This window comes from Homo sapiens, chromosome 3, assembly GCF_000001405.40.
Source record: "Homo sapiens chromosome 3, GRCh38.p14 Primary Assembly".
NCBI classification, from domain to species: domain Eukaryota; kingdom Metazoa; phylum Chordata; class Mammalia; order Primates; family Hominidae; genus Homo; species Homo sapiens.
The window spans coordinates 125277361-125302824 of NC_000003.12; the positions used below are offsets into that span (position 1 = coordinate 125277361).

Below are 25464 nucleotides of genomic sequence, written 5' to 3' on the forward strand. Positions count from 1 at the left end.
ATGAATTGTACTGCTGCTTTAGGAGTCAGGAATTTGCTTCCTACCCCAGACTAATTAACGATAATTTTGAGTTCAGTAAACACCTAAGGAAATAGCAATTTCAGAAAATCTTCCTTCCTTTTGTGACTTTAAACATATATTTTAGGTTATTATGCAACTCTATTTCAAAGTAATTTCTTGGGCTTGGACATTAAAGTTAAGTCTTAACAGTTAACATTGATTTATTGAAGGGAGAAAAAAGATAACCTGTGATTTATAGTCTAAACCAATGGAAATGGCAGCAAGTCACTGCCACTTATTAAAAATTCTTCCCTCCATTTGAAATAATCATTTTAATGAACCTAGTAAGGGTGGTTAACACTCACCAGTATGAATCTTCTCATGTCTCTGAAGCAGGTACTTCTGTATGAAACGCATGTCACATTGACTACATTGAAATGGTTTTTCACCTTAAAATAATTTCACATCCACAAATTAGTTACTGAATAAAACAACGGTTTTTAGTTACTGTTTCTGAGGAAAGAAAAATCTTAGATGCCCAAATTTTGGAAAATTACAAAATAGCCATACAAATTTTTAATGTTATTAACAGAATTTTATGTCCTCTCAATTTTTTTCCCAGGATTTAAAAATTCATATTCTCACAATCACAGAAAAATAAGATTAAATTTGATCTATATATTCAAGGGGGGGAAGGAAATAAATAAAACAATTTAAAATTGAATTTTAACATCATGGGGTGAGAAAGAAATACAGGTTCTCACGTGTCCTAAACATCTTTTCTTCCTTTTTATCTGGAAGAAGGTGCGCCCATCCTGTTTTCTCCCTAGTTAACCATCCATTTATGCCCTTTTACATATTTTCTTCAGAACCTTCAGAACTTTCTAAACATCCCTTTTTTAAAAGATCCTGTCTCTTCAAACTTTCTCTCTCTGCTGGGGCTTTTCCTTTTAAGGAAAGTATTCTCTGGCCTGCTCTATGCTGAGAAACCTTGTTTCAGTCCTGAAACACTTCTACCTTAGTACTTTCTCTCCTTCTCTTTCACTACACCTCCTTAAAAGAGTAGTCTACTCTAAGTCAAATTCTTCACTGCCCACTTGCGGTTTAACCCTTATACTCTGCTTTCTGAAAAGCTACTTGTGATCTCCTTGCTATTTATTCCAAAGATTTTTTCTTGGTTCTCTAACCTCTATCCTCCTAGGGCACTGGCACTGTTGGTCACATCCTGCTTGGAATTCTATCTTCTACTAGCTTCTGGGACACTATTTTCCTAGTTCAATGAATCTCCCTTATAACTGTTTTTCTTCCTCATTTCATCTTACATGTCTAGTTTGTTTACCCAAAGGTCTGTCATCTTTAATACTGTTCTCTACAATTTCATTATCTTAGCTATCATTTATTTATATTTGATTTCCAAATCCATGTTTTAAACTCTGCCTGGACATTTTGCACACACAAAAAATGAACACTGATAAACAGGCTTTTAATAATACATTCTTTAATCATTTCTCTAGCTAAATGGAGCACATTAAGCCAAACAGGTGTCCAATTAAGACTATTTAATTAATTTTACACATCCATGCTAATTGTTTTCTCACTTAAGAGTTTTTCCTGGTTTCCTTCTGACATTCTGGCCTACAAAATCTCTGATTTGGAATGCCAGATTAGCTATGGTCTTAGGAATGAATGACAGTTACACGAAGATGAAAATAACAAAGATAATAACTTTAATGGCCACAAGCCCATTTTAATTCAAGAAATACCTGTATGAATGAAGACATGTCTCTGTAAGTGATAGTTCGTTCTAAAGGCAGCATTGCAGTGCTCACAAACGTGAGATTTAGGGGTTTTCAAACCAAGTGATCCATCCTCATTTATTGTAAGGATCTAGTTCAAAAAAAAAAAGGCAAAAACAAAAGAAATAAGTTTTTAAAATGTAATTAAATAGTAATTTTAAAAAAAAGATAATGCAAACAACGGTCACCACAGATTATGAAATATTTTGTTCTTAAATGATCTTGAAAAGACTATTAGAATAATGTTATCATTAACTGTAGGAAAGTACAATGTGACTCAGAATGAGCAAAAATCACTAATAAAACCTTGGAAGCTGGTTAAGTAAGATCTCATCACGGCCTTCTCCTCTGTAATGCTTATGCGTGATGGAGTTCCTAAGTCTTCAGTTAGGGTGAACACAGGTATATTTTCAATTTCAAATTCTCATATATGCAGGAAAAAAGCCTTTAGACATGATCTAATATCAATCAGTATGGGGCTAATTAAATAAATCATGGAAAATGAATACAATTTAATATTATGTGGTTGTGAAATAAAATGACAAAGCTCTCTATATACTTATATGAAAAGCGTGTCAGGATTTGTTAAGTTAAAAAAAAAAAAGGCAAAGTTTAGAACCCAGTGTATAGTTTTGCTAACTTTTGTATATAAAAGGTACATATAGGAATATATATTTGCATAGGCATAAAAACTACTTGAGAAGGATATATATACAGAAGTATATAACCTTGATTGTGATGGCTGGGGAACTGGGCAGACAAGAGATAAAATGGGAGGGAGGTTTTACACTGTCCACTTAACACATTTTTTTGAACCATGTAAGTGGTTACCTATTACTAAAAAAAAAAGAGAACACTAACTTTTCAAGTTACAATATGGTAGAATTTATGGTCTGTTTCAGTCTAGGATCACTAAGGTTATTCTAGAACTACTAAATTATTATTAAACATATTCCTAAGAATATTTGTCAAATAAATAAATTAGAAGTGGGTATGGGGTCCATCTGGGGCATAAGTACTGAATAAGAAAATTATTCAGCACTTATAAATTCAGTTTTTTAAAAAATAGAAGTGGGTAAAAAGAAGGAAGACAAGAGACAAAGCAACCTTGTCTTTCTGGGCTTATTGAGATTAAGAGTATTGCAAGCCTGGTTTGGATGGTACCACAGAGAAACTCACCTTAGGCTGCATGTATTCCAATTTATCAACAACTTGTTCAATGTGCAACATTAAGCTGCCTTTTGGCCAGGCATGGTGGCTCAAGCCTGTAATCCCAGCACTTTGGGTGGCTGAGGTGGGTGGCTCACTTCAGTTCAGGAGTTCGAGACCAGCCTGGGCAAAATGAGGAAACCCCGTCTCCACTAAAATACAAAAATTAGCCAGGTGTGGTGGCACACACCTGTACTCTCAGCTACTTGGGAGGCTGAGGATGGGAGGATCACTTGGGCCAGGAGGTCAAGGCTGCAATGAGCCATCATCATGCCACTGCACTCCAGCCTGGGCAATACAGTAAAACCCATCTCAAAAAAAAAAAAAAATTGCCTTTCATCAGACATGTGGAAGAGTGAAAATAATGATTCCTTTTTCATTATTGACGAAAGCAAAAAAAAAAAAAAAAAGGCACAACATTATGCTGAAACAGCAAAGAAAACTAGAAGATCTGATCAGGAGGGGTATGGCCAGTGAGAGGGAAACAATGCTGTAGGTGTGGGCATACAGAATGGGAGCTAAGAAACTGTCCAACAAAGGTAGAGAAATCTGGGAAATAAATATAAAGAACTGTGGAAACTGATTAGGGCCTGCAAACACACAGCTATGACCCCTTCTCAAACCTAGAAAAGGGCAGTACGTAAGGGAAAAAAGCTTTAATCCTTAAAACATTTTTACTTTAAATTCAAGAAGACAGTTCAGCCTATACTATATGCAGATCAGTGGTAATTATTATGCAAATTATACAGGGCATTTGGATTCTGGGCAAACAGCCAATGTGGTCAACAATGCTTCAAAGTCTATGCACCAAAGTCATGGAAGGGAAACATTTGGCAGGAGAATGGAAGTGGGTGTCACAGCTTCCTGAGGAGAGTCAAAGAAAGTGGAAAGCTTCATCTCTGGGCCAGTCAGTTTTGAATTTTTTCAACCCCTCCAAGTCACATAATAATAAGCAAGTTAACACTGTGCAAAAGGAAAACACACAAAATCTTTTAAAATATGACTCAAAATATTTTATACATAAAACAAACAAAAAGATGTTAAATACTTATATAAAATGGAACTAAAAACAAGACAGCACCAGGTATTTTTTTTCATGTATGTTGATAACAAATAAGAAAATCCAACTGCCAAAAAACATGGCACTTCAATAGCTTTCTGTGGCATAGCAACTGCAAGGAAAGGCTTTGTAAAGAACAAATCTGGCCCAAGTTGCTTAATGTGAAACGGATGTAATCCTTGACTGTACAAAGCCCTTTTATGAAGAGTTAAGGAGTTCTAGGTCATTGTTTTCTGGCACTGGAGGTACTGCTGCCTTTCATTGTAGATTCAAGCCTTAATTCAAGGTGAATTTTATGGATGAAACAGCTACCACTGCCTTGTGGATAAACACACAGGAAAATCTAGCTTTTTTTAAGTTCAAAGACAGAAACACCAAATTCTTGGACATTTTATATTTTCCTTACTTTCTTTTTAGGCCAGAGTAATAAAGGACATAGAGTAAACTCATCTTGACTCAGATGAGCATCAATGGCCCTTCCAATTTGTAACCTGTTTTAAATATATCCAACTGATTTTTATTCACCCTTATAATCTCAGTGTTCAAAATGGTATCTGGAGCATAGTGGAGACTCTATACCTGTCAAAGGACCTGGCTGCCTGCTGTCCATAACAATTACTCCTCCTAGCTTACCACTTTCTTGTTTTTTAAATTTGTTGCTAAAAGCAATACTTTACTTTTCAATTTTTTAGTCTTCAGATAACTGAGTAGTGAGAGAAGCGGGTAGGCAAAGAATAAAATCCCTTAGCAGAACACAAATAGCACACTAACGCAGGCAAAATTTTCTTCCCCGGTATAGACTTGCCTTCTTTTCTTGCTCACACCTTTTCAAGATCTTTTAGTAGAATGTGATCTACCAGCTGAGTGTGTTTGCCTTAGAGATTAGCAGTCTTACCTGCAACTGGTTCCATAAAACATCTTTGCTTTTCTTTTTTCCCCAACATATGGACACCATTACAACTGAAGAATTTTATGTTTAAAATTTTGAATTCTAAGATGCCTGCTAGACATCTTCAGATGCTTTATCTTGCCCCTTGTCATTGCTACTTCAGGAGAAATATGGTATATTACATAGACCAAGCAATCAGGTTTTAGCAAGTGGAGAAATTAGTAATACTCTAATTCTCAACACACTACATTTTTTTTCTTATCTGTTTAGTAAATTTAAAACAAGACTTTATAGAAAAAAATTGAGTATCAAATGGAATTTCTCAGTTAATCTGCTTTCTTAATCTCATATCCATTATGACATATTTTCTGTTTTAAGACAAATCTATTACCAGCCAGCTACCTAAATATACACATATGGTAAAGGTTATCTTAAATAATATACCCATTTTCATCAGGCAAAGCCCTAAGGTCTGCCTATTCAAATTCAGAGATTTTTCACTCCATAAGGATCACTGCCACTGAATAAATGAAACCTGACACCCCTCACTGAGAAAAAGTTCTGTTTTCTTAAAAGGCAGACATGATTTTTCACATTCAAATGTGTACTACTAAAATTATTAAAGCATATTTTAAACTAAACACTATAGGTTTTTATCATATATTCCTGAATCAATCAAAATCAACTTTGAAGCCACCAAAACTCAAAAGACTAATTAGATAAGAGAGTTTACATTTCTCACCTATTATGAGACGTTCTACTGCAACTGGGGATGGAGAATGACAGCTGTGACAATTCTCTTTACTCTCCAAATCCAATGAGAAATGGAAAATAGTGCAAGTCCAAAGATATACAAATAACAAAGTCACCCTGAGTAATACCCATCACGGCAACTTGACTGTCCTGGTCATCGTTAATAACCTACTCTAACATTGTCACTTTCTTTCATTCATCAAGATTTTTTATTGTTTCTCAGTACTAGATTTTTCTCATCACCAAATTTCCTTTTTAAATGGTAAGCTTTTGACAGCACCAGAACAAGAAATTCACTGTATCATAAGCATGGCACAACAACTATGTTCAGCAAAATGACCCTGGGTTTTAGAAAAAGGCTGTTTCTTCCCTGTTTCCTGAATATTAGGCAAAGAAGTAGGTGATATTTTCTAAAGAAAGATTTACATCAGATTTTTTTTCAAAGTTAGGGTTCAGTTCTATGGAAAAACAATTTATACAAGACACACAATTTCCTGGGAAAATTAGATAAATAAAACTCTATTATTTTGCCAATCTTCTTCCTTCATTTTCTTACTATTCCATACTTCCTGTTTGCATCCTCCGTCTTATAATCAGTTCATCTTTAAAGCTACTTCTTCCTAAATCAAGGTAACATGTAGAAGAAAGCATGGCAAATGTCTGGTATATCTACTTCTCTGTTTCTTTTCATTAAATTTTCCTTATTTTACATAATTCAATCTTTCTGATACCAAAGTCTAAAATCTTTTCTGGGAACCAACAATATATAATAAATTGCTGGGAAAGGATTCTCTATTATATAATCTATCTGATGTGTGAAAAGTGCTCTTCCTCAGTTCAGCATAACTTTGAATAATGAATTTTTATTCAGATCACCTAAAGTGTTACAACAAACCCAGTTCCTTTTTTCAGTACCTGATGAGAGATCCTGGCACATAACAGGCACTCAAATTATTTGTTGAATAAATGAAAAGAGAGATACATTTCAGAATAAAGAGAAGGAATTAAAAATATCCTCTCTCTCATTCAGTTACTAAGGAGGTGGAAAAGACCTATATAATATATACAACATGGGATTTAGATAATATTGTTATATTTTACTGAAAAAAATTCTTAGATTTCATTAATGTTAACCCAACAATCCTCCTAAAACCCTTCTGAGATGGAAACTGTTACCTTCTAATTCATGTAACAAGTGAATACCAAAGTCCAGTAGTAATACCTCATTTATTCAGAAACTTCTAGTGTCAAGATTTGAAGTTTTCAAGCTTAAGAGTATAACAGTCACCAAAAACAGACTCAAAGGGGCAAAGGAAAGTGATGTTAAGTGGCCACCCAGATATACAGCAATGTAAAAATGAATAGCACGTCACCAAGGAATGAGAAGTGAAGTGATTATAAGCAGTATAACACTTAAAGTCTAGCAGTGTGGATTTGCAGGGTCAGGTGGATGGGGGAGAGCCCTAAAATCTCTGTTCTCCTAGAGGGCTTCAACTGCAATACGCAATTTTAAAAAATGTTTATGTCAGCTTCAAGACATTAAAAGCTGAATTATGTTCAAATACACTAGATTTAAAAGGAAAACAACACCTTAAAGATTTCCCCCAAAAAATGGTGAAAATAAAATGAAATTTGATATTTAAAAGGTGTAAGCTTCTATTATGTAGAAAACTTACTTTCTTAAAACAGCTAATTCCACAACAGATGCAAATAGCTTGACCTAGATGATGTTCCCTAGCTCAGTTACCCTCTTCATCAGGCATGCTGCCAAGTGTATTTAGGCAAATTTCAAGTGTCAAAACCTACCTTAAGATGATCAGGCTTTCCCATTGCATTTAAGTTTTCCAAAAAAAAAAAAAAAAGACTCAGCTTTGCCATATGAGAAAAGTTCAGAAGGCAATTATTGCTTAAAATCCATGGCAGCTAAAGATGGAATAACAACACAGTACTTTAAGGCAGCCATAGTTACATGGATGTTTATAAGCTCTGATGTTTTTACTAAAACTCTATCACATTAGTTATACTTCTTGTGCAGATCCCCAATCTAATACTACACAATGGTGACACAAACTCAAAATATTCACAATGGCAAGATTTTAAGATTTGGAAAAGGTGCTGGGGGAGAGTGGAGTCCTCTAGGCATAATAAATCATAATTCTTTGAGGAACTTAAAATTGTTTTTAAGGAATTTAAAACAAGTAACACTTACTGATTTACAAACATGGGTAAGTTTCTCTTTCTCTTCATACCAAAGAGCAGAATGAATTATTTTAACAGAAGTTCTGAAGCATAAATTTTTATATACACTCCTGAGAAAATGTAAAATTACTCACTGGTTATATCTTAAAGTTCTAAGACTCCAGACACAAAAAACCCATTCACCTGGAGATGGCAGACCAGTGGTTAAAAAACAGTCCAAAACCATTCCCTGTCCCATTACATGTAACATGCCAGGACAATTGAAAAATAATTGTTTGTTCTTTATTTAAAAAAAAAAAAAAACAAAACCAGAGACAGGGTTCCACAATGTTGCCCAGGATGGTCTTGAACTCCTGGGGTCAAGCAATTCTTCCGTCTCAGCCTCCCAAAGTGCTAGGATTACAAGTGTGAGCCACTGTACCTGGCCTGTTTGTTATTCTTACACCTCTGTCTGCTGTATATTGTTTCTAGTCACTTCATCTTCCTAAGAATTCTCTAAAGGGCTACCCTAAAACATTCTCTTATACGCACTATACTTAGAATAGGACAACTCCGTCATCTGGCAACTACAGAGGTATATAAATACTTAAATAATACCTTTAGAAATATTCTAAAATGATACATTATAAATGAGTTTATCGCAAATTAGACAAGCAAAATAGCTTAAAGCCTGTAAATACCTAATCTATATTTACAAATACCTAGAACATATCACCAAATACAGAGTCCAACACCCAATAAGAAGATAATCTGGGTTTTAGTCAGAATTTCAAGAAGAGAGTACACTTGAAATAGATACCCCATAGATCAGCAATGAATCCGAAGTAACAACCAATCACTATCACAAATGATTTTAGAAATAATTTTTTACATAAAACCTAGTATTATTCTATATCTGAAGAACTTGATTTGTTCATTAATGTAAAGAACCCCCAAAAATGATATAAATTACTGAGAAAAACATTAAAGCCCCAAAAAAAGAAGTGGAGGGAGAGGGAAGAAAAGAAGAAGGGAGAATTTCACAAAACATGAAATATAAAATGCCAACAAAAATTTTAGAAGTTTAGTGTGACCAGAAACTAAAGAAATTCAAATTTAAACTATAATGAGGCTCCCATCTTAAGCAAAGTCAGACACTCAAGACCAGTGAGAATGCAGACAGATACACCTCAGGTCCACTGCAGGTAGAAGTGTAACTGGTATAACATTTCTGAAAAGAGTAACATTATCAAGAAATCTTTCCAAAAGTTCACACCCTTTGATCAATAGTGCACAAAGATACATACTCAAACATTTTAAGTGCAGCATGATTTAAAACAGAAACAAAAGGACTACAACTTTCAAACAACATAATAATGTCCAATAAAACAACCATTAAATATAACATGATCTATTAAGAAATAGATTATGTAGCTAATAAATGATTACAAAAAACATTAAAAACTTTAAGCACAAAAGTTGCTTACATTTCAAGTGTTAAAAATCAGCTAATTTATTCTATATTATACCTCCATATCTATCTGCACAAATTTGAAAAAAGAAAGGGAATATGGCAGAAAATCCAAGTAGTTATCTCTAGGAAATGTAACTATGGGTTATTTTAGTCTCTATGTTTTTCAAAATTTGCTATTGTAGGCATATTTATATGTCCCCAAAATAGTGGTATGCTGGCAAATATTTAACCACCAACTAAGGAATCAGGAGGTATAGAAACATTTGCTGATTTCCAGGGTGTAAATATTCCCACCATAGCTAATTATAAGCTACCAATGGTTTTGGCAACTAATTTGCAAATGAAATCTTGCAAGCCAGCTCAAGCTGGCTCCAACACACTAATAAGTCCAAAAGTATACAAAAATATAAATAATAATGATGATTATGATTTCAAATCACAAATTTTTAAAAAGCCATCAAAAAAATCATATTACAGTATGATCTTTTTAAAAAGGACTTTCTCACCACATGAGGGAAGAAAAAAATAAGAGTTAACTATAAAAATGCAAATATGCTGCAGAGAGTTCAGAGAATTTCTAGGAATACCAAAAATGCTGTATACATTCAGCTATCACTATACTAAAGAGAAAAAAACAGGCCAGGAGTGGTGGCTCACGCCTGTAATCCTAATACTTTGGGAGGCTGAAGTGGGAGGACGGCTTGAGACCAGGAGTTTGAGACTAGCCTGGCCAACATAGCAAGACCCCATTTCTGTAAGAAATTCAAAAATTAGCCAGGCATGTTGGCACATGCCTGTGGTCCCAGCTACTCAGGAGGCTGAGGGAGGAGGATCCCTTGAGACTGGGAGACTGAGGCTGCAGTGAGCCATGATCATGCCACTGCACTCAGCCTGGGTTACTTGTTTATTTACTAACCCATTCATTAACCCATAAAATATTTACTGAGGATCTATTATGTCTCCTATTCCAGGCTCTTAGGATACAGCTGTGAACAAAATGAAGTCCCTGCCCTCATGAAGTTTACATCCTATTAACAGGGATCCTATATCTTTTCCTGATGAATAACTGGTATTACATTTTCCTGAAACCTTAATATAAAGATAAGGAAAACTAATACAAATGAGAAGAAAGGGCAATGCATGCCATCCGATAGAGATATGGAAAAAGAAAAGTTCACTTTTAGACAAGTCAGGAACATGGTGAAAGAGAAGCAGAAAAATTGAAAGCAAGGCCCACCACCTCCATGCAGGCACGCACCCCCTCCTACTAAACCACACAAGACTTCTACATCTGCCTTAGGGTCCAGCCAGGTTCTTGCCTATAGAATTAACCAACAGTTGGAATTAAGAGGTTGTGATTACCACCTTAATACATTGTCTTACTTTTGCGGGAGAACGTTGTTTCCGCTTCTTCTTTTTCTGTAAGTCTACTGGCTCTCTGATTTGTTTTTTGTCTCTCATCAGTTGCTCAGATACATCAGTAAAAGTAATTTCCTGCTTTACGCTTATCTGTTTAAAAAAAGAAAAGCCAATTTTAGACATAAATAAAAAGTTCATTGTGACAAAAGGCCATTTTATGTTTAATCCTTTGCTAAACCCACATACAGGTGCTTCCAGAATGATGATCTATGTGTGTGTGTCCTAACTATATACAGTGCTATAGAATTCATTAATAGGCAGTGGGTAATAAGAATTGAGAGTACATAAATTGAGGGATAAACAGATTTTTTTTTTAATCTACCTGAGAAAAAAGATCAAAGACGTCCTGGGAAAAGATGATCATAAGACCAAGCAGAAGTCAGGAAATCGTAACATCAATTTCATTCCCACATTTAAGGAAACTGATACTGAAGTTAAAAGCGCACAAAAAAGGTTAAGGTCCAAAATTCAACACAATACTAGGGAATAAAAGAGGTATTTAGACTTCTAGATGGGCTCTGTATTTATAAAATATCAAGTAAACCACACAAATTCTAAAAGATAATTTGTCAAAAGAAAGACAAATTAACAATGAAAATCTAATTATCTTCATGCTCAACAGTTTTGTCATATGACTCAAGATCTCAGCCAGTACTTTCCTGGGCTCTACAACAGACCATCACCAAATATGTGTTTATAGAAGCAATTATAATTTTAGGCTGCTACACTGTACAAGACATGATGCTAACTACATAATAGAGAAATACTAGAAGAAACATTAAGATTTCAACAATGTTCTTCAATTTTCAGATCTTAATTCTCAGAGTTACTTGTCCTTAAAGAAAGAAAAGAAAAACCAAGGTTCTAAGATCACTAACAGTACCATCGTCAGTTCTCATCAGATTTGATGGTGTTCAGTCATCCCCTCCTCACTGCTACATTTTCAATCTATCCTTGAAGTAAAACAAGAACCTTAAAACTAGGAAACTTTCAACTCAGGCTATAAAATACAGTAAAGATCCTTGAGAATAATTCAGTAAGTACAATGTGCTAATGGCTACATTTTCAAGAAACACACTAAAAAGCATGGTGCAAAAGATGATGAACATCTTACAGATTCAGTGTAAAGGTGGAAAACAGCTATGTAGAAGAGGTTCACGAGAAAAAATGCAACCTAAGCCAGGAATTTCATACTGACAAAATAAAAAGTGGAAGTTCTCATGAATTCCTGAAATGCAGGCCATGTGAGAATCACAAATCAAGAACCCTGGCACAAAAACATGATGTAAATGATTATTTATTTAGCTAGTAATTCTACCAAGTTACAGAAGGGTACAGTGACCACTCTTCTGGCTTCGTTGGTATCAATTATTTTGACTACAAAATACGATGGTAAAATCACCACCTACAAGACTTGGGAATACAGACCTCTTATCACCTCTGAAGTGGTATTTACTGAAAAACAATAACTGGGAATGGGTATGAGACAAGAAGAGATAACAGACTATGTAAGCAGCTGTGGAATTTCTCTGCCCTATTTTGAAGGAGTACCAAAAAGTAGTACAAACATTTCTGTCAGCGTGTAAATTCCAAATAAACCATGGAAATGTAGCATGTGGCAACAAAAAAGAGGAACTCTTTTTAGCAAGTGTCAAGAAGAGTGTAAGATAAATTCATAAATAAGTTCTGCTGTTAACTGCCATTCACAAACCAACCAAGAGCCTTTAAATGCAAACAGTAAAAAAGATTAACACGTATATCTGAACCTGTTATTTCCACATATATGGAAAGTGATTATATTAATACTGTGATTTTCACCTAGTCCCATTAGTACCCTCATGCTTATTTGCAGGCCTGAATTTCAATGCTGTTCTTATTACCAGTCCAGATATGCCACCACCACCACCATCCACCACCACTCTACCTGCCCTTCTTTCTTCAGATTTGACTAAACTCAGACATTTCTCCTAAAACTCTAAAGCCCCTGCTCATCCACTGAGTCAGTCTCCCTCTGGGCTTCCCACTTTGATACTACAGAAGCGGTCAGACATGATTTCCTTTTCATATCTCCCTTCTATACTCATCTAACTTCTTCCCCAGGTTAAGACAGAAGTAGAGACCTATAGTGTCATGCTTCCTCTCCTCTTGCCACTCCCTATGCCGGTTCTTTCTTGCAAGTTCTAAAATATCTCTTAATTACCCTTTTTCTCATTTTCAATCTTTCCCTCTTTATTTTCCTGACTTTAAAGAGTCCTCCCTATACTGAAAATATTCTTCCTTTGATTCTAATCATTAACTCAACTCCAGAATGACTTGCTTTATCAAGACTTATTTCTCACCCCAAAATAAAGTCTTACTTTTATATTTAACTATTTCATGTACATGTATACTGTTTTGATATTTTAAAGTAAGATACTCTTTGTTGGTATTTCTTATAATAGCTGTCATTCATTTTCTCATTCAACAGCTATTAAGTGCCTGCTCTGTCAGGCTAAAATACTATAACAAAAACATTTACTGAGATTGTAATATGTGCAAAGTGCCATTCTAGATACTAAGCACATTCTAAATATCAGATTTCCTTTTCAAAGGTCTTAAAATGTACGTGCAGGGTTCTGATGCATTACCAAAAAAACACCTAATACAGACAGCACATGTGTCATACTCTAACTGAACAGAACAGAGAATAAGGGTAGAAATTCAAAGGGAGAAATAAAGACAACGTGAAATAACTGCATCAGGCTTTGGGGATGAAACAACAGACAATGACAGCTGCAAGTTTAGCACATATATCCCCCCTTTTAACTTTTTCTTGCAAATCTGCTACTCTTCTTAACTTCACCTAGTCTCAATAATGATAATAAGCGATGTAACAAATATAAATTGTACCTAAAATAATGTTGCCAGACACAATGTGATGAATAAATGTTTCACTACAGTTGCAAATTTTGGTCTACCCCCTCTCCCCACCTTCCAAACAAGATGACTGACTCCTTGGAATCATTTTAGACTCTTCTCTTCATTCTCAACATCCTGCACCCATACCCAGTGACATCCACTTCCCTCCAATTAACCATACCAACCTCACTGACTTAGAGCATTATCATCTCCCAATGTATTCTTCTACAAATAAATGAATATAAAACTATTTCCTTAACATTTCCTCAGTGAGGAATTGGCAACAGACTGTTGCCTATAGTATTCATTATCAGCTCCCCAGCTCAGCTTTCAAAATTCTATATGATCCACTTTACAGAAAAGACCTAAGGTACTTGGCAGAAGGATATGACCTTACCATCACTCCTCTCCATTTCTGAAGTCACATGTTCCTATCAATTTTCAATTTCAAATTTTGGTATTCTCACTCATCTTCCAACCCAGTAGAGTAAAAGGAAGGTGGTCTTTCTGTTTTCCCCTATACTCCTGATTCCATTCCCACCCATTTTCATAGCTCTGCTGCTTCACTATCTATTTTATAGTCTCCCTGACACTACTAGCTACTTCTTCTCTTCTTAAAAGCACACTGAAATTTCCCCTGTAAGTTCTTGTGGACCAAAATTTTTCCAGCTACTATATTCCTTCTTTTGGCCAAACATTTTAAAAGAATAATCTGTAGTCAGCATACAGAGATAAAATAACTGTGCCCAAATTTAGAGAAATGGTTGTTCTGAGAGTAAAAGTAGTATACACAGCCATATAAAAAAAGATGTGTTTAACTATCACTAGAAGGAACCTGTTCCAAAATATTGCCTAGGAAACACCCAAGTTAAATCAAGGTGACTAAAAGTATAACTAGTTTAAATGTAAAAGGAAAGGTATAACACAATTAACTGTACTGTAAACGTACTGTCTAACGAATGTCAGCAATATTTGGGGGTATTCATGGAGTCCAGAAAAGGAGAAATTTAAGATTTAAATTTAATTTGCATGTATATTTCCAAGATAGAACTGCAAGAACAGTTTGATGTAACCAGACAACAGGAAGACTTCAAATTCCAAGCTCACAAAGTCACAGAACAGGACAGGGAGGTGAAGCAGTACACTGATGGATAGGCCTGTGTGAATCACGAACTATATCTGTCCCGTTTGCCTGATCCATGACCGCATGCAAAATTTTGAAAGGAGCTACATTTGTTAGGGGAAAGTCCACAGCTATCCTTTGATTTTCGAAAAGGTTCAGAGAGCCACAGTTGGAAACAAACATTCTGATCTATTTCCCTATTACATTTCTCACTATAAATGTAAACTCTGGTTACTATATCAGCATCTTATAGTTTACATAATTAAAGATTAACTAGATGAACTGATCAAATCAAGTTACCTTACCTGAAACAGTGCTGACCATCCCTATCCTACTTGGAAATTCTAGTCTTCCAAGTTCCATAAAATCACCTAATTTAAGTTCTCTCCTTTTCTTCATAGCAGTTCTTCTGGATCCATCCTTCCAGTAATATGTGCCTGTATTTTGTAACAGTTTCAGTAAATCTACATCAGTGGTTCTTAACTCTTTATGTTTAAAGTCGGGAGAATAAAAAAGGAAAGACTGAAAATGAGAAAAAGGTCAGGGTAATTAAGAGATGTTTTAGAACTTGCAAGAAACAGCCAGCATAGCATGGGGACTCCTGAAGGTCCCTTATGCCCTTTCAGGTCATTCATGACATCAAAACTACTTTCACAATAGTAGCTGCTTTTTAAAACTCTCTTTCCCTTAAAAGTATACAGTGGCATTTTACAGAGGCTAATTAAAATGTGATATCATCACAGACTTAATATATGTCACCACAGATATGCATTATATCCAGTTATATTAAGCCAGATAATAAAGAGATATCAAAAAAATGTAAAACAATTTCCCTCTTCTCACTAAATTTTTTGTTTTGGAAAACAGTTATTTTTTATTTACAAATGTTACATGCTAACATGTAGTAAGTTTTATTGTGACAAATTAATACATAAAACTTTAAATTTCTCAGCTTTAGTTTTGAATATGGTAAATACTGATACATATAACCAACATAAGCAAAAGCTCTGAGGAGTCCTCAGTATTTTTTAAGAGTATAAAGGGACCCCACGGCCAGAACATTTGAGAGCTGCTAATCTAGATACATCTTAACTATACAATCCCTTTCTCTCTTTCACTCAATCTCTTTTAATACAGATGCCCGGGCCCTACCAATATAAAGAAATTACTATAGATGTTGTGTGCATGTGTGGGTTAGTAGACATACATGTATTTTCCTAGCTTGTTTGCTGAGGTCACTGAAAAGCAACGACACCCAACACACCTAGCATCCAGAACTTAGTTTCTAAATGCCATTATCCAAACAAAAAAGAACCAGAGTTCTCTGAGAAGTGGTTGAGCCCAGAGCTGGGTCGGGGAAAAATATAAGATGACTCTAGAAAATCATAATGTCAGAAGCTAAAGTGTTCAAAAAAGGATCAGAGGATGTCAAAAGGACATAAGACCCAGACTGAAAGAGCTCCTAATGACCAAAGATGGAATCTGAGCAAGAACGTAAGCAACAACAGTACTGGATTATAACCCACAGAATAAAATGCATATCCACAGATACAAAATGAAACAGTAAAAACAACAAATAAATGGAGGAAATGGGACAGCTACAAGGAACATCAATATAGAAGGAATGCGGAAAAGACAAAAATCACAATTAGGTAAACATCATGGTAATAACCATTACAGGCAAGGCCCACCAATAGATGCTGAAGTTAGTGGGCAAAATTTTGAGAGAGAGGATATTTAAACGGTCTCAAAGTATCTCCTCCAAGATTATCTGTCAATTATAAAGAAAAAAACAGTAACTCTACAGTGGGGAAACCTGGCAGATAATCACAGTAAAGAAGGATCAAGGTTACTATCACCAGTTTTAAGACCTATCCACATTATGTGCCCCCGATATGATGCACTGAGGGGGACACAACATCACTTCTGTGGGTAGTCAAAAATGTAGAGCATCAATCTAACCATGAGAAAACACCAGAGAAGCTCAAATTAAGAAACAGTCTACAACACAACTGACCAACACTCATCAAAGTATAAAGGTCATAAAAGATGAGGAAAAGTCTGCATTCAACTGAAACAGATTGGAGGTGGCTAAAAAAACAGGATAACTCAATGAAATGTGGGTCCTGAATTGAATCCTCAAACAGAAAAAGGGTATTTGGAGGGAAACATAAAATTCAAACAAGGTCTGTAGTTTAATACTATTTCACCAATGTTAAATTCTTGGTCTTGACAACTGTACCATACGGTTACATAAGTTTTAACATTAGGGGAAGCTGTGTGAAAAGTTCATGCAAACTCTACTATTTCTGCAACTTTAAGTATAAAATTATTTCAAAATGAAAAGTTAAACTAGACTCTGATTTTTCTAACTACAAAAATACTCAGCATTTACATGGCATTTTTATGAGTTTGTGATTCTGCCTCCTCAGCATATACTAAGATTTATCAGACATTCACTACCATGCACTGTCCTAAGTGCTGAAGATATTAATACAATACATGGGGAAGACATGGTCTCTAGCCTGTATAGTCTATTGCATTAAATCCTACAGTAACACTATGTTAAGAATTTTCATTAAAAAAATAGAAAACTAAGGCCCAGGAAGGTTGAGTTACTTGCCTAAAAGCACAGTAATTAAGACAGAAAGACAAAATTTAAACCAAAGTCTTCTGAATCCAGTGACTAAGATCCTAATGATTGTGATCTGTGAATTCTTTCTTATCCTCATGTTACCAATAAACAAACTAAAATTTCAGGGAGGTAAGTGTCTTACCCAAGTTATTAAGTTGTACAACTAGGACTTAAGATCAAATACCTTTCAGTCCAGGACTGCTTTTCAATAAATCTAAATTATTCAAACTTATTTAAAAATGCTTTTTATAGAAACATACTGTATTTTTCCACATATGAACTATAGTTTGGTTGCTTTCAAAATAAGAAAAAAACTTCTAGTGGTTTTAGAACACCTAGTGATTATTACTAAAGGAAAATAAAATGTTAAAAAAAAATTGGCCAGGCACAGAGGCTCATGCCTGTAATCCCAGCACTTTGGGAGGCCGAGGTGGGTGGATCACGAGGTCAGAAATTCAAGACCAGCTGGCCAAGATGGTGAAACCCCGTCTCTACTAAAACTACAAAAATTAGCTGGGCACAGTGGCAGACTCCTGTAATCCCAGCTACTTGGGAGGCTGAGGCAGGAAAATAGCTTGAACCCAGGTGGCAGAGGTTGCAGCGAGCCAGGATCGTGCCACTGCACTCCAGCCTGGGCGACAGAGTGAGACTCCATCTCAAAAAAAAAAAAAGACAAAATGCCAAGAATATTTAGATGAAACATTAGAAGACTTGGATTTCAATACTATCTCTTCCAATTATTAGCTAGGTGAACTTGGCTTCCAGAAGTAGTATGGCAAAACAAGAAAAGCACAGGCTTGGGAATTCAAAGAAATAAAATCCAGTTTCAAAGAGTAATACTAACAGTGTGTGAGGTTGAACAACTAAAATTGGGATCATGCCGAACTTTGCTCACCTGTAACCTGGAGGGGAAAATCTCATAGGATTTTTACAGAGTTAAATAAGATAACTCTGTAAAGTACTAACTACAGTACAGAGCAGTATGAAGTAGTTCTTGATGCTACTTAGTATCATAATAAACTCATCTGTTAATTGGCAGTAGTAATAATATCCATCTTACATCAGAAAATCAAAAGAGATTACATGAAAAGCACCTTGAACACCTTAAAGCACTAAACGAATATACAGTTATTAATTATCATACAATTAATAGGTGTGTAACTGCTTGGATACACAAAGGATTAGCAATTTCTATAAAATATCTCTACGTAGACATCTTGATATCTAAAACTCAATATGCCAAAAAAAAAAATCTTTCCTTTCACGTTAGATCCTCCTTCTAAATTCCCTGCCTTTCAATATATCATCCCAGTATCCTATCTAAAGATTCTTTTTTTTTTTTTTTAAGACAGAGTCTCGCTCTATCACCCAGACTGGAGTGCAGTGGTGCAATCTCGCCTCACTGCAACCTCCGCCTCCCAAGTTCAAGCAATTCTCATGCCTCAGCCTTTGGAGTAGCTGGGACTACAGACATGTACCACCACGCCCAGCTAATTATTTTGTATTTTTAGTAGAGACAGGGTTGGCCATGTTGGCCAAGCTGGTCTCAAATTCCTGGTCTCAAGAGATCCACCCGCCTCGGCCTCCCAAAGTGCTGGGATTACAGGCGTGAGCCACCATGCCCAGCCAATGCTATTTTTTAGTTTTCTTTTCTACCTTCCACCCAGGACAAAGTCCAGTTGTTGCTGTTCTTCCTAAATATAATATACAAATCTAGAAATTATACTTCATATTTCCTTCTTTAGATTATTTATAATGATACTAAGTTGGGACTCTCATACACTACTAGAGGGTCATCTTTTGTAGACTACAATTTGGCCAATATACAATAAAAGCCTTAAGAGACCTATACTGAGGAAATACTTTCTCATGACAAAAAAGCACATATACAACACCACAGTATTATTTATAACAGTAAGAAAAGGGTGCAAATGTCTAATACCCAATAATAAAGAAATAGGGAGATAAATTATAATACAGCTATATGGCATTATACAAATATTAGAAATCTGACTTTTAATGACCAAGATGAAATGCTCATGGTTTAAGGTAAAGTAATAAATATAAATAGGCATGTAGATAAATACATTTTCACAATTTTATACAAACACAAATATAGACACAGCAAATTTTATGCAAACACACCAACTACCTACATAGAAAAAAAAACAAAAAAAGAAACATTAAAATGTTAGCAATGGTATGTCAAGAGCAGTTTTCCTAAAGTAGTAAGATTATAACAATTTTTATTTTCTTTATAGTTTTAAAATTTATACATTTTTCAATCTTAAAAAGATATTAAATCTAGTCCTAGCACAAATCCTTACCATTAATTAAAAAAAATATTATTATCTTAATATACTAAGTTGTTCTAAAAACTGAAACACTAACCCAGCAAAGTAAAGTGAAAGGAAATCTCTATGGGTAAGTTTGAGAAAGAAACCAGAACTATCAACTAAATCTTAATCTCCACAATTCACATCACCAGCAAAAATCAATTCCCAGTGGATTACTGATCTAAATGGGAACGGAAAACCATAAAGCCTCCAAAAGTTAAAAAAGGAAAATATCTTCACAATGTTGGGACAGGCAAAAATTTCTTAAGAAGGACACAAAAAATACCAAAAGGAAAAGACTTATACAATAAATCGAACCTTATTAACTCCTGTTTACCAAAAAAGTAAAAAGACCCACCAGAGTCAGAAATGATCACTGCAATACATGCATCCAACCAGTGGATAAAGAACTACTACAAATCTGTAAGAGAAAGAAACAACCTACTAGAAAATTAAGCAAAAGATGAACATCTACCTTACTAAAAAATAATATTTAAATTGTCAATAAACATGAAAAGATAATCAATTTCATTAGTTACTAGTGAAATGAAACATTAAGTCATATTGCAATTCCACTATCATACCACCAAAACAGCTAAACTTAAAAGGACTGACAAGATCAAATAGCAAGGATATAGAGCAATTATTATAAATTGGCAAAACCAATTTAAAAAACTTCTGTCAGTATGTACTAAAGCTGAACATAGGCATATCCAGTAAATTCAATTCTAAGTATATAACCAACAGAAATGAGTACATACACACACAAGTGACATCCAAGAATATTCACAGCAGCACTTAATACCAAACATCTAGAAACAATCTAAATGACTATTAGACTAGAATAAATGAAATTCACCCAACTGATGATTCTACAGAAATTACATGCAATAACATGGGTATATCTCATAAACAATGAAAATAAAGAAACCAGATACCTAGTATATAGTGCCTATGATTCTGCTTATTTCGAATTCAAAGTCAGGTAAAACTAATAGACTATGACAAAAGTGTTGGGGTAGTAGTAATCTTTAGGAACTAGAGGAGTGCTGTGACCAAAAGGGATTCTATATCTTGATCTTGATAGCAGTTACACGAGATGTTCACTTCAGAGAAATTTAATCAAGATGTACTCTTATGATTTGTGCGCTTTTCTGTATAAATGTTACATTTCAATAAAAAGACATATACCTAGAGCAATGTTATAAATGTGCATACACACACACACACACACACACACACATGCTCCTTTCCAATTATTTCATTCAAACAAACCCAGTAATAACAAATGTCAATCAACAGAGGAATGTGATTAAATAAATTATGGCATATCCTTTAATCACTCATTAAAATAGGGCAGTTTTACATGCAATAACATGGAAATCTCCACAAGATGCGTCATTAAATGAATAATGTAAATTTCAAATGCATACAAATAGCATTATCCAATTTATGTAATAAAACAAAATATTGTACATTTATATTAAATTTTTTTTTTTTTTTTTTTTTTTTGAGACAGAGTCTCACTCTGTCGCCCAGGCTGGAGTGCAGTGGCGTGATCTCAGCTCACTGCAAGCCCCACCTCCCAGGTTCATGCCATTCTCCTGCCTCAGCCTCCCAAGTAGCTGGGACTACAGGCGCGTGCCACCATGCCCAGCTAATTTTTTTTTGTATTTTTAGTAGAGACAGGGTTTCACCATGTTAGCCAGGATGGTCTCAATCTCCTGACCTCGTGATCCGTCCGCCTCGGCCTCCCAAAGTGCTGGGATTACAGGCGTGAGCCACTGCACCCAGCCAAATGTATGTATTATATATCCAAAATGTATTAGACATAAATGCATGCACACAATATGTTTCTTTATAAATGTAAAACTTCCAGAAAGGTATCAATATTAGTAGCTATTTCTTTGGAATTAGAGTAGTAGACAGACATTGGAAAGAAGGAAATTTTACTTTTCACTTTATTATTTCTTCTACCTTGTTTTAATATTTACAATGACTATGTAGTCCTTTTATAATAAAATGCAAATATAAAAACACCAAAGTAGACCTCTCTGAAACTGATGTAGCTAGGCTGACTCTACATACCCTGTCCTAAATGATTTCCAGTTGGTGTACTACTAGTTTAAGAGCATAACTCTCCTTCAGTACCACTGTCTCACAATTCCAGATGAAGCAATTAGACATCAAAGGTCAGACAGAACTATATTAAGAGTGTTAGGAGACTGGTTATGTTATTAAAGTCAGCTGGAAACCGGCTGTGGTGACTTACACCTGTAATCCCAACACTTTGAGAGGCTGAGGCAAAAGACTGGCTTGAAGCCAGGAGTTCAAGGCCAGCCTGGGCAACCTAGCAAGTTTCCATCTCTGTAAAAAATTTAAAAATAAAAATAATAAAGTCATCTATAAAGAAATCTTCTACCAACAATTCATGTCTACTTAAGGGGGAAAAAAAGGATATAAACTGGGTCAAACAACCTTAAGAACAAGTGAGGATACTGAAAAATAGACCATGTTGGGTCAACTCCCTAAAACAATCTACTGGAAGAGATAATCTGATTCATCTACTTGCCTGTTGAGTTGAAATCATTAATAATAAGCAATAAACACGACTCTCACCAGGAAAGGAATAGCACTCAGTCCATGCTTTCTGCCCAAATAATGATTGCTGTTAGATAATACACTTTTTTAAAGAGCCATGTGGTATGAGAGTAAAATCTTGTGAAAAAACTAGAGTTGAAGTTAGTTACCATCTATTCTCCTTAAAACAAGCTCAATTAAACTACTTGTGAAAATGATATTCAAATAATACGCTGACGTAAAAAGGATTTGAATGTTTGTTTTGTTGTTGTTGTTTCTGAGGCAGGGTCCCACTCTGTCACCCAAGCTGGAGGGCAGTGGTGCCATCTCGGCTCACTGCAACCTCCACCTCCCAGGTTCAAGCAATTCTCGTGCCTCAGCCTCCTGAGTAGCTGGGATTACAGGCGCCCACCACCATGCCTGCCTAATTTTTGTATTTTTAGTAGAGACAGGGTTTCACCATGTTGGCCAGGCTGGACTTGAACTCCTGACCTCAAATGATGTGCCCACCTCAGCCTCCCAAAGTGCTGAGATTAGAGGTGAGAGCCACCATGCCTGGCCTGAATGTATTTTTTGAAGCACCTCTTGAAACATATATCCCCAATAAAAGACAATGCAATCACTTCAAAAGGTAAGGACCCAACAGCCAGTGCAAAAACCAAAACTACTACTGAATCCCTCAAATAAACTTTAAAAGAAATGCAATGGTAATTAAGAATTGGGTATAACTAACGATAGGATTCAAGGAAATTTAAAAACTAAAAACCAAAACAGAGGTCTTATACCAATGGCCAAATATGTTTTGAGTTTCCTGGGTCATTAAATGAATTAATCATAAACACGAAAATGCGTAACAGTATGCCTGCAATTTTACACATGCTGCTTTATAGCACAAAAATTCATGACTAACAATGTTACATGAATGCTAAAGCATTTTTTAAGGAATTACACATGCCTGAAATATTTCATATTTTATTACATCATTATGTGACTAGAGCATGATTTTTTAGATAGTTCCTACTTTATAAAATCTTTTCACTCAAGTGATACAAAGCAATAGTTTTCTAGAAGATGAATGCAGCATACATCACTGTGAATTACAATTTGCTCTGTTTTGCTAATACAGAACATAAGTCCTTCCTCTTAACATGCTTGCCACCAAACTGAAAAAATAAAGACCATAAAAATTTATGATTTGCTAAATCCTCCTGAATGGGTCTGATAAGTGTAAAATGGATAAGCCAAATAGTTTTTTTAATTGCTGAAATAAATTTTGTTTCTGAGTTGAGAGGCTTTCTAATATAGTGCTATCTAATAAAATATTTTGAAATGATGAAAATATCCTTTATGCTATCCAATACAGAAGCCATTAGCTACATGTGACTACTGAACACTTGAAATGTGACTAGTGTGACCAAGGAACTGAAAAATTAATTTTATTAAAATCTAATTTAAATGTCTAAAATATTAAAAAACAAAGTTCTAATGAGAAAGATGTAGACGTTCAAAAGTTGGCCTAGGCCAGGTATGGCAGCTCATGCCTGTAATCCCAGCAGGATCACTTTTGAGGCCAGGAGTTTGAGACCAGCCTGGGTAACACAGCGAGACCCCATCACTATTAATAAAATTTATTAAAATAAGAAACAGCTGGCCTATATTTTGCTGTTGAAAACATAGTGCCATTGAGCTAAATCTGAGTGACTTAGAGAGCCAAAATAAATCCTGAAAATTGGCAGTTATCACACATGATGACTTATACTTCAAATGTCACCAAACACTAGCGAGTTTACATAGGCTACAGAACTTAAATAATTTTAAAACACTAAAAACTCATTTTTTTGCTTTGAACTAACCAAAATAAGTTAACATAAAGTTCTTTGTACCTTCCACATGAATGAGCAAATCAAAGAAGAAAATCATTAACATGCTCAATATCAATTTTTAAAAGGCTTTATTTAGCACAATCTAGAAAAACACTTGAGTAAAGGACTGTTAAGTTTCTACAGTTTTGGGGACCTGTATCATACTATTCTAGATCAATGTTCTCTCTTCAATTCAAAAATGTACATTCGGCCAGGCGCAGTGGCTCACACCTATAATCCCACCACTCTGGGAGGCCGAGGTGGGTGGATCACCTGAGGTCAGGAGTTCAAGACCAGCCTGGCCAACATGGTGAAACACTGTCTCTATTAAAAATACAAAAATTAGCCAGGCATGGTGGCGGGCATCTGGAATCCCAGTTACTTGGGAGGCTGAGGCAGGGAGAAATGCTTGAACCCAGGAGGTGGAGGTTGCACTGAGCCAAGACCATGCCACTGCACTCCAGCCTGGGTGACAGGGCGAGACTCCATCTCAAAAAAATAAATAAATAAAAGTACATTCATGGCCAGTTGTGGTGGCTCACACCAGTAATCCCAGCACTTTGGGAGGCCAAGGTGGGAGGATCGCTTGAGCCCAGGAGTTCAAGAGCAGTCTGGACAACATACTGAGATCCCATCTCTGAAAAAAATTGTGAACATTAGCCAGGCAAGGTGGCACACAACTGTGGTGCCAGCAACTTTGGAGGCAACAGTGAGAGGATCACTTGACCCAAAGAGATCAAGTCTGCCATGAACCATGATCATGCCACTGCACTCCAGCCTGGGTGACAGAACAAGACCCTGTCTCAAAAAAAAAAAAGAAAAAAAGAAAAGAAAAAAAAAGTACATTAATGAAACCCAGACCTGCCCTTTACCTCCCTGCCTTATCAACAGGAACCCATAAGTAAGAAGTAAGGGATAGAATTTCTCATGTCTCTTATGTTCTACTATAAACCAATGTTATGCAAACACTTTGCAAATTCTGCCCATCTGGTATATCGCATAATACAGCTTTTCATTGATTCATTTTCAGAATGGACTCAAATTTATCATTATCTATTAGGAATAAAAGGACTGAATTATGGGTTACCATAAAAATGGAATTATCAAGCAGACACTGAAGTTGTTTTAGAAGAACACACAATTGAGAAAAATTCAAAATATACTGTTAAGTGAAAAGACTACATAAAAAGCAATATGATCTTATGTATGGCATGCTTATCAAAAAAGCATAAAGCACATACATTAAAATGTT

At 35.3% G+C, this 25464-nt stretch overlaps 1 protein-coding gene across 13 annotated transcripts in view; it reads right to left on the reverse strand.

Annotated features, from left to right (window-relative positions):
• The window catches only part of ZNF148 (zinc finger protein 148), a 149686-nt gene that overhangs the window by 51692 nt on the left and 72530 nt on the right, over positions 1-25464 (reverse strand). For 12 of the 13 annotated variants that reach the window (NM_001348426.2, NM_001348431.2, NM_001348428.2 and 9 more), the window contains 3 exons: positions 10743-10868; positions 1764-1887; positions 366-449 (listed from right to left, as the gene is read on the reverse strand). In NM_001348426.2, coding sequence (NP_001335355.1) covers positions 366-449; positions 1764-1887; positions 10743-10868 — 334 coding nt within the window. The remainder of the gene's footprint in view (positions 1-365; positions 450-1763; positions 1888-10742; positions 10869-25464) is intronic. The other variant, NM_001348434.2, reaches the window with a different exon arrangement.